Source organism: Homo sapiens, chromosome 13 (genome assembly GCF_000001405.40).
Source record: "Homo sapiens chromosome 13, GRCh38.p14 Primary Assembly".
Classification (NCBI taxonomy): Eukaryota; Metazoa; Chordata; class Mammalia; order Primates; family Hominidae; genus Homo; species Homo sapiens.
Window position 1 is genome coordinate 33,722,963 of NC_000013.11, and position 11,338 is coordinate 33,734,300.

General features: G+C 40.1%; 1 annotated feature.

Annotated features, from left to right (window-relative positions):
- Positions 983-1,152: a silencer, noted in NCBI's record as "silent region_5256". NCBI's record gives its function as "represses an Ori minimal core promoter by ATAC-STARR-seq in GM12878 lymphoblastoid cells {active_cell/tissue: GM12878}" and the evidence as "EXISTENCE:reporter gene assay evidence [ECO:0000049][PMID:35858748]".

Genomic DNA, 11,338 nt, shown 5'->3' on the forward strand with positions numbered 1-11,338 from the left:
GCTGTAAATCCATACTGCAGATTACTCAAAGGCTTGGGAATATGATTCAAGAGGAAATTCTTTAGATCTGGGATAATTCACTTCTATTTTTCAAGGGCTTTTGTTTTAAGGATACCTGGAAAATCATAAAATCAGATGGGATTTAAGAGTTATTTAATCTAGTGGTACCTATGCACCAGTCATTAGATCTGTGCTGGGCTGCCTGCCTACACATTTTTAGCTAATTTCCATGTCTTCAGACAAGAAAAATGTTTTCCAAGGAAAACAGTTCTTTTGGATTTTTTTTTAAGTGCAATTTCTGGGCCCTGCCCTAGATTTTCTGACTGAGCAAATTTATAGGCAAGGCCCTGGAATCTGTATTTTTTTAAAAAGCTTCCCCGGTGATTTTGAGATCCAGCCATTTGTGGAAACCCACTGATGTTAGTCCAATCTCTTTGTTTTCCAGATGCAAAATCTGAGGCCCACCTTGTCCCAGCTAAGCAAGTGAGGGAGAGGAATCCAGAGCCCTGACTTGTAATTCATTTTTTTTTTGTGTGCTTCTCATTCACTAGGCACATCTGCTGATCAAATCCTTCCCATACCCTCTGGATTCAGAACAAGAGGAAGTGCACATATGTCCACAACAATTTCCCAACACTAGGGAGTATTGATTTGCTGGGGGAGCAAGTGGCATCTCCCTCCCTGGAAAATTTTAAAACCAAAAGAAAAAGTTTAACTGGCTGATAATTTATAAATGAAATCCTCTCTGAAGATAGGAAGATGGGCTAGATAATGTTTTATCTCTTCTAGCCCTAACTTTCCATGCTCCTATAATTTAGTAACAAAAGGAACCCATGCACTTTCTTTTTTTTTAAGACAGTTTCTCCAGAAGCTTCCATGTGTGGAGAAACTTACTCTCTTCCTCCTTCTTCTATTTATCTTTTCTTATCTGAAAGGAGGACTACACTGTAAACATCTACATATGCAAAACCCATGCCTTTGGTACACACCTACCACTTTCAGATCAAACCGACAGCCTAAGTGGCCAGGCTGGCAGCTGGTTTAGGATAAATACAACAGCACCACCTTGTGTTGCGTTTCTGGGAGAATTTACCACTTCAGCAGGACAAAGACTTGGGCCGGGATGGGTGGCTCAGGATACAGCAACTATTCCTTTACTTTCCCTGCTGGGAGCAAATGCTAGCCATTTCGAAAAACCTTTTTGTTTGTTATCAGCCTACAATTTTCTTCTATAAATTCTGTAATTTTTAAAATATAAAAGGTAGCTGAGAAATGGAAATGCAGAAATAAACATATATTAATAAAAGCCTGGGTAAGCACAGTGCTATAGTAAATATTGTAGAGAAAAAGTTAATGTCAGCTTTTATTGCAAAAGACTTGATAGTAAATGTACATTTAATGCTATTGTGATTTAACACTTTCTCTAAAGATTCTCCCATATTTGGGGAGGTAGCTTTTAAACTATGTATTTGCCTATTAAGGGAAGAAAAGAATGTTTCACTTTCTCATAACCATTCTGGGTGAGCCTGGATAAAGTCTTTGTTTTCCCCAAGTATAGTTGTAGATTCACATATATAAATATATATAGATATATATGAATATATATATAATATTCATATTATACCTTGTATTCCCCAAGCATGGTTGTAGATTCATATACTATATGTGTACATATATAATATACATATGCACATATATATTTGCATCTTTGCTGTGGAGCAAGCTAAAAATTTAATATGTGAATATCAACATGGGACTGAAAGACCATAAAGACCAGAAAATCGACATATTTGCTAAACAAATATGTCAAATGTCTGATATTTTCAACAGAAAGAACATGACTAATTAAGGAAGATTATTTCCAGTTGTAATTTGAAATGTCAAGATTAGTGTAACAAATCAGCAATTCTTTGTCTCTGAAATCATCTGGAAAATTGAGCTAAGGCCTTACAAGCTACACATTATTATGGGAAGAGAAGTTACAGGATTAGAAAGTAGCAAACCAGGCATTCGGGGCCTTGCTGGGGCTGGCCATGCAGAAAAACTTACCCAGAAAATCCTGCAGAAAGCTCAGTAATGTTACTTTTAGTTGTAAAAGAGGATTTGGTCTTCAAAGTTTATTTGCCATTGTTCACCCAGTCTTTAGCACGTATATTTACTGTGCTGAGCTAATAACTTTGAATTAGACTTTACAAATAAGAAGGAAAAATTATGTCTTAGTTCCTCATGTGCTTTCTTGTGGAAGGCCAGACAAGTAGCACATTTGATTAGGCAATATTTCTAAGTTTTGGATAATTTTTCTGATATTGTATTCTCCAATTAAATTGTAATCTAATTTATAAAAATACTAAATATATAGTTATGAAGGGTGCACTACAATTTTAAAGAATGTGGAATGTTCAGGTGTGAATCATGAACTTGGAGGGCTTCTAGTAAATACCAGTTGGCAAATACAATGTCATATCAATATGAAGAAAATGCTCTTCTTTTCTTCAAACAAACGCAATCTCAAAAACTCCCAAGGGCTATTCCATTTGTGTACTTATCAGTCACTTGACTGCTTTCCTAATCACTGTTTTCTAGTCCCAGTTCTGTGCACAAAGGAAAGTTCCACCCCGTTCCCCAACCCTGCACTCAGGATCACTCCCCATCAAATGGTGCCTACCTGGAGCAGAATGTTGATTTCACACTTGCTCCAAATGTTCTTCTTCCTTCCATTAGACTTTCACTTAAAATTTATTTTTTGGTAGAATTTGAGTTCCAGGGAGAGTATGGACTTAATTTCTAGTGGCTCTTAATTCTGTACTGCCACCCAGATGGCTTCCAGCTACATGGCTTTTTTGTCACAGGACAAAGCAATGACTGTGGATAATGAAAAAATAATAATTTTCTAGAATGGTGGAATAATTTTAGACACTATTAGTGTTTATTAATTGGGTTGTGTATTAGTCTGCTTGGGCTGCCACAGCAAAATACCCCAGACTGGGAGGCTTAAAGAACAAAAGTTTAGGCCGGGCAAGGTGGCTCACACCTGTAATCCCAGTAATTTGGGAGGTCAAGGCAGGTGGATCACCTGAGGTCAGGAGTTCGAGACCAGCCTGGCCGACATGGTGAAACCCTGTGTCTACTAATAATACAAAAAAATTAGCCAGGCGTGGTGGCTTACACCTGTAATCCCAGCTACTTGGGAGGCTGAGGCAGGAGAATCGCTTAAACTCGGGAGGTGGAGATTGCAGTGAACCAAGGTCGCGCCATTGCACTTCAGCCTGGTGACAGAGTGAGACCCTGTCTCTAAAAAAAAAAGAAAGAAAGAAAGAAAGAAAGAAAGAAAGAAAGAAAGAAAAGAACAGGACAGAAGTTTATTTTCTACAGGTTCTGGAGGATAGAAATCCAACATCCAGGTGCCAGTAGGGTTGGTTTCTGGTTGCAAATGGTCACCATCTTGCTATGTCCTTACATGGTCTTTTTTCTGTAAGCATGGAGAGACAGAGAGAACGCTGGTGTCTCTTCTTCTTATAAGGGCACCAGTCTTATCAGATTAGGACCCCACCCTTATGATTTCATTTAACCTTAATTACTTTGAAAAGCTTATGTCCATATATGGTCACCCTAGGGTTAGTGCTTCAACACATGGAATTTTAGAGGGGACACAATTTAGTCCCTAATAGATGGTAACATAACTTGAACCTGGGAGGTGGAGGTTGCAGTGAGCTGAGATTGCACCACTGCGTTCCAGCCTGGGTGACAGAGCGAGACTCTGTCAAAAAAAAAAAAAAAAATCACCGAAGTTGGATAACCACAAAATGGATGTAATAACACAGCCCTGTCCTAACTTGGTTCTGACAGTGTCACATAGGAAAAACGTTTTAGAGTTAGAATTGCAACCTCTTGCTTCCAAGTGCCTATTTTACGTTAACTACTATGTTTTATTTTCCCAAATCTTCAACATTATGCTTTTAGAGGCAATTTTCAGAACTAGGTTTTTTTTTCTTATTTATACGCTGAAGTGTTATATATGTGATAAACAAGAAGACAAAATGACAGAAAGGAATTAAAGTCAATATAATCACCCCTGTTAAGCCATTATGTGTTTCCATTAGAGCTTTTCACACTAGCTCCATAGTCTAAGTTATTTCACTTCTCTGAGACCTGGCTCTTCCCTTGAAAATATATGATTAATAGTCCCCATCTTAAACAGTTGACCTGAGGAGTAAATGAGAATATACATATAAAAGGTTCCATGAGGACACAGCAGTAAGTTTGCCATTTGCAAGTTTTTAGAACATAGCAGACTTCTAACAGAAACAATGTTATCCTCTGTCTTACTAAGTTTTATAGTATGATTTTCCATTGCCTGAAATCTCTAATTCTGTAAACCATCCGAACTATATTTAAGTAAAGTAGTTCACTTGTGCATTTTGATAGAGTTTGATGTTTGCTTCTTCTATTTTGAGGAGGAACATGCCACCCACTCTTGGATGAAGTGGTGATTTAACTATAACTATAATACAGATATCTGACTCAACAACTGGCTGGAGTTCTGAAAGTAAAACCATGCAAATCAAGGAGATGGTAGCCAGCCTTAAATTCTCTATTGCCTCATAGTAAATTTATCTATAACATCCTTTGGAATGCTCAGATCGCTTCTAGTTATATCAAGATCATCAGTAAGTCTGCTCAAGAAAAGCCAACCTCCTCTTTCTTGGTCAAAAGGTGGGTTTAAACTTTTTAAATTTCGGTATCTAAAGGCAATTTTTAAAAAAGTTTTCAATGTTTTTGAAAGATTGAACTTTCCAGATTTAAATATTTTTTCATACTCTTAACCAAGTTGTAAAGTTCTGAGCCTGTGGAGGGGTTGGGGGTTGAAGGATAGAGTTTTCATATACCCATATGAAATGCACATACATAATCACATGCCACAAACCACAATCACTGTTAGAACTGTACAGTGTGACCTTGATAGGTACGGGCCCTGCTGGCACAGGACTTACAGATTGGTGGGGCAGAAAAATATTAAAAACTACACAAATGGCCAGATGGATACAAATATGATAAGAGCCATGAAGGAAAACATTTAGTTGAAAGCACTGCAATACAAGTGAGTCCAATATATGTCAAGTACAACACAAAGCATCTTCTTTGCATGGGTTTTACTACTTTCTAGCACATTCTTGCAGTGTTCTTAGGTAGGCAGCAATGCTGTAAGACACAGTGAGGTGAAAATTAGGAGAAAGTAGTGACAGAATATTTTTCCTCTTAATGTAAATTGTGAAGGAAAAAAATTCCTCTACAAAAATTCCCGTAGTCTAAACTCCACATTTTCAAAAGTCCTTAGAGCCATGGCAAGTTTCCATGGAGCACAGATTGAACTCTCTCATGTAGAAGAATAACCTACTTGTTTTCAGGAGAAAGGCGGGAAAAGTGCCTGAAACCACACCCACTAATGACATCAACAATTTCCAGAAGGAAGGCTCGCCCATAAAAAGGGTGCCAGCTTGGCTGGACAGAGAAAGCATGATGGTGGCCCCACCCATGATGTCAGCCCTGGGCCCTGACCGTACAGAACCTTCACACTGGGTTTCTTAAGGACCAGTTGCCATCTTGTCTCCTCCCTCCCCACAGCCCAAACTCAAATGCTAACTTTGACCTTCCTTCCTGCCCCTGCTGTGTCAGTTGGCATGTCTCAGGACTGTAGCAAAAGAAAGCTGGATTTTTTCCAGGAATAGCTTCAGTCTTGCTCAGATGAAAGGCAGGATGCCAGGGCGAGGTGATTTTGTTATTAATCAACCTTGATTTGCAGAAGATGACACAGATGCCAGGTCTGTGCTTTAAGTATCCTTTCAGCAGTGCTGAAAGTCAAATATTATTCAGCTAGGTTCTAAGCAGGCAGTTTAAATCATGCTAAAGGCTGTGCCATTTCAGTGCTAGAAACAGGAACTGAAAACGAATAATGTGCTATTGGGAAACTGCGGTGAACTCTGTCATTTTGAACCCTGAGCACCTGTTTGTACTTGTAAAGCTGAGAGTTCATGTCGAGGGAACATGGAGCTATTGGAATATGGCAGGACTGAATCTGTCCAACTTGACTTCAAGGGCATTTAAGTGAAAATTTGCTTTAAACAGTCAATGCTGAGGAGAGAAGAGACTCTGGAAATCTATAATCTAATCCTTGGGGAGCATTTCTAGTTTAATAAGTGGTAGAACACATTGCCCATCTTAGACAATCACCCATAAAAAATGTCCTGACCAAAATCCTGCTAGGCTATGCAAGTACTCCTAGTACTGAATGTCGGCTCAGTGAGTGCACACTTTGACTTTATTAATGGTGAACCATTTATCTGGACCCATGATAAGAGTCAAGTCTACCCTTTCATAAATTGATTTTGTTTTGTTTTCTAATGAAAAGTTTTAAACAATCTATATAAATGGCATATTGTCTAAATTGTAAAGTGTCGAGATGACATTTCATTTGTTTTTTGTTCTATTGAGAAATGGAAAGGTTAAGGGCTTCGGTGTCAAATGGATCAAAATTCAGACTCCAGTTTAGATACTTATGAGCTGTGCAATTCTGAGCAGTTTGCCTAACCTCTTAAAACTTCAGTTTTCAGCCGGGAGCGGTGGCTCATGCCTGTAATCCTAGCACTTTGGGAGGCCGAGGCAGGTGGATCATGAGGTCAAGAGATTGAGACCATCCTGGCCAACATGGTGAAACCCCGTCTCTACTAAACATACAAAAATTAGCTGGGCGTGGTGGCAGGCGCCTGTAGTCCCAGCTACTTGGGAGGCTGAGGCAGGAGAATCACTTGAACCAGGGAGGCAGAGGTTGCAGTGGGCCGAGATTGTGCCACTGCACTCCAGCCTGGTGACAGAGTGAGACTCCGTCTCAAAAACAAAACAAAACAAAACAAAAACTTCAGTTTTCCTCATTTGTAAAATGGAATCATTATAACAATACCTTGCACGAGCTAAAAACTTTCCTGTCACATATGCTAGAGGCCTAGCCCAGAGTATCTAAGTGCTCCATAAATGGTGGAGAGCTGCCGAAGTAGTGGGAATGGAAGTAGCAAGAATGTTATGAACAGTATTTGTCTTTCTGAAAGAGACTGCTCTTGACAAAAAGAATCATATCATACACTTCAGTGGAATTTCTCAGCATTTCTAGCATGGGGTGCAGGCAACAATCAGTGCTAGCTGAAATGTACTGACATGAATGAGTTGGGCATCAGTACATTTTCCCAGCTAGGATAATGGAGCAGGGAGGCAAGGTCACCAACTATTTTCTAGAGAGAGACATGTTAACACACACAGAGTGCTTCACTAGAAACATAGAAATAAGAACTTCCTCTGTCACAAAGGGTGTGAGATACTTGAGGGTGAAGAGGGGAGCAGTGGGGGGTAGAAGGTGGGGAAGGAAATGATGCAGAACCATTACAACATGGGCCAAATAACAAGTGAGAGGGAACGAAAAGAAGGGAACTCATGCTTGCTGAGCATGATATGTCAGCACTTGACACAAAATCCTTACTCTACCCTGAAATTTAAGTCCTTTTAGCCTCAGAGAGCTTAAATAAACCTGCCCAAGGTCCCACAGCCAATAAATGGTAGAACTAAAAATTGTACTTAGGGCTCTCCACCTTCAAATGGGGGTTCACTCACAGCTGCATGCCGCCACCCTGCTGTATCACAGTGCTCAGGATTTTTATGCGATGCCAATTTCTCCTCCAGCTGCCTCCCTTTCCTCACCCTTCATATAGATGATGTATAATTTATCATTCAAACCAGGCGACGTTGGAGACTCGAAGAGGGAGCTGTTTCTCCAGGACAACAGGCCAAACCAGCACTGTCTTAGGCAACACTGGACAGTTACTCACTCCACTCAAAAGAGTTATCTACACTCTGAGCTTCCTCAGCCCTCAAGCACTAATAACTACACTTATGCTATTCACTCTCTAAATGCTCTGGCTAAGATCACTGAGGACCTCCATGTCCCTAAATCACAAAGATGTTTTTAGTCCTTTTTTATTTGACTTATTAGGCTATTCTTTTTTTCTTCTCCTCCTTCTTTGAGACCAAGTCTCACTCTATCGCCCAGGCTGGAGTGCAGTGGCGTGATCTCTGCTCATTACAACCTTCGCCTCCCAGGTTCGAGCGATTCTACTGCCTCAGCCTCCAGAGTAGCTGGGACTACAGGTGTGCACCACCATGCTCGGCTAATTTCTTTTGTACTTTTATTAGAGACGGGGTTTCATCATGTTGGCCAGGCTGGTCTTGAACTTCTGAGCTCAAGTGATCCACCTGCCTTGGCCTCCCAAAGTGCTGGGATTACAGGTGTGAGCCACCGCCCTGTGCTGACTTATTAGACTATTCTGATGACTTCCGTTGTTTGCTACTCTGCATCTCCTTGGCTTTTGGGATACAGTACCACACTAGTTATCCTTGAAAACTATTTCTAGTTCTTCTAACACATAATCTTCTACTCAACTTTTAAGTACTGGAGCCCCTTAAGGCTTGGCCAGAGACCCTCTTTATTGAAAAAAAATTATTTATTTCTATATGTTCTCACTAGGGAACCTCATCTCTCCTGATGGCTTCACATAAGGTCTTTAAATTAATTACCATAAAATTTGCATTCCCACTCCAGATCTTGGATCTGAGCCCCAGGCCAGTGCTTTACTCAACATCGCTGCTTGGATACTTCACAGGAATATCAATTTCACTAAGCCTAAAACTCATCTCCTCCTCCCATCCCCAGCAACTCCATTTTCTCCTAATGACCACTAGCACAGTAAATGGTGCTGCCCTCCACCCAAGTGTGTAGGTCAGAAACGTGAGAAACACGCTCACTCATCTAAACCCAAGGAATGGACTTAGAGATATAGAGAGTAGCAGAGACTTTTAATGATGGTCTTACAAGATCAGGTGTCTGATGGGCAGGCACACCCAGTACGGTTACAACAAGCAATTTATCCCCTAGTGCACAAGTCCCTTCCCCGTTCCTCACAGGCTGAGTACTATGGGGTTACAATCTTCCCGGACGTCGCCTATTGGTCATTGGGTTGGGGCTTTTAGGTGTTTTTTTTAGGGTTGTCTTGCTGCATTTTGTTGCAGCCCATAATGCATTGCAATGATGGTCAGCTCCGTGACTTTACAAGTACTTGAGTTATGACCCAGGTAGTCAGGCAAGCTGATAAGAATAGATAAAGCAGCTGTTTTGCAGGCTAGTACACTTTCATTCTAGACTAAACTTTTTGGTTCGGGTGAGGGTAACTAAGGGGGCCATGACAAACAGGCACTGGCTATTAAAGCAGGGGCCTAGTGTATCCTGTTTTTCCATAGTTTGCAGGCCCGAGCCTATTTAAAGCACTTTGTCTTGAAAATGGACCACCATATACATTATTTCCTACAACAATGTAGGAAACAAATGCCTCTTCTTCACTTACCATATACAATTGATCATCAAACAGTGTTATGTGTATTTCTAAATGTCCATCTCTCTTTTCTTCTGCCACCATCCTAGTCCAAGCCAACATCACTTCTGCCCCAATTATTATAATGGCCTCGAAACTCTCTCTTCACTTTTACTCTTGCCACTCCCTAATTGTCATGTGCCACATCTGTTCCTCTCTTGCTTTAGCTCAATGTTCTTTCCCCCTCTCTCTTCATCCCTACTAGTCTATTAGTTCCTCATTCCATTTTTCTTCTTACTTTAGAAGCTTAACATGTTCTTTTTCTTCATACTGGGTAACTCATTCATCCTCTAGGTCTGAGATTGGATGTCCTGTCTTCAGAGAAGCTTTTGAGACCCCCTAAAGTAGGTTGAGTTTTCCTGTCTTTCATGGCTCCCTATAATCTTCTTTTGAGGCATTTATTAAAATTGTTGTCCCAATCTTGCTTTGTAGCACAACATGACTTCATTAGATATTGACATTATTTGAATATAATCATTCTATAGCATCACTTAAAGCCATCATTAACATCCAGTGGCCGGGAAGGACCACAGGTCCATGAGCTTGTAATTTTGCTGGTTCACTCGTTTTGAACTTAATAGTGACACAAAAGTTTGCAGTGGGGAAGTTTGATGAGCCTGATGGGGCCAAAGCAAGAGACAGATGCTGTGAAAGTCCCCATAGATTTTAACCTTAAGCTGTTGCTCTGGTCAGGTGAAACAGAGGTAGACAGGTTGCTGGTAAGGTGATGAACAAATTAGAAATAGCATGCTCTGTGCTGAGTAAAGTCAAGAGATCTGTGAATGGCAATGTTTTGTTCAATAATGGGTGAGGAAGTGTATGAAGAAGTGACAAAGGTGTCTACCGATCCTAAATCTCTGTGACACACACCTACATGATCCCACATCATGCATAATGACAGCATTAAATATAAAAGGTGACAATGTGCCTATATAAGATATAACTTAAAGTCACAGGACAGGCTTTATGCACAGTTTACAGAGTTTTGTCTTAATGCTACCGTTATTCTTTATTTAATTATTGACATTTGAATTAAGTGTTAGTTTTCACAGCATAGTTCATCTAATCACTTGCATTTTATATTCTTGATACTTCTAAGTACTTTAAAGTCTCATTTGTGGGCAATTAAGATGCACTTTTATATTTCTAAATTACATATTCTATTAAAAAGCACTTTAATGTAAACGTAGTGTTATGCCATAAAATATTCTATTTGCGTGTCAGGTTTATAGCTATCAAAAATTGCTATGGTGTATAAATTGAGCTTTACTTTGATGCCAATGTTCTTTTGCCCAGAGTTAATTTTTCTGGAATATCCAGGAGTTTTAGAGTGTTTCTGTCAAAACTGTGCTGACATTCTCTCTTAGAGAGTCCTTTAGCACTAGGGATGGGAGTGAGACCGAAGTGGATGCTTCCAGTGGTAGAGCTGCACTTCTTAGCAGATGGAGAAAAGTAGGGTCGGCCTGGTAAAAGGTGACGTGAAGACGGGTTTCAGGAGGAGGTGCTCACAGGTGATCATGGCAGATGCAGTGTGGAGATAATTCCCTGAGTTGTATCTACACAAAACCAGGTGCCCTGTGAAGGGGAAAGAACTATTAGTTGCTTTATCAGTTTCAAACCTAACTAAACAGACAACCAACCTATTAAATAAGGCAAAGAGACCTTGGAGAAAACTGAAACCCTTCCCCAAAGAGTTAAAGAAACCAATGACTAACAGAAATTCTTGAGTCTGCAGGATAGCAGTTAAAAAAGAAACAACTTGCTGAAACACTGAAACTCCCTCTGCTTCTGAGGTAAAAGAACTGGCTGAAATCACTTGGAACCAATATGGCCGAATGGAGTCTATGCAGAACCAGCTTGCTGATGTCACA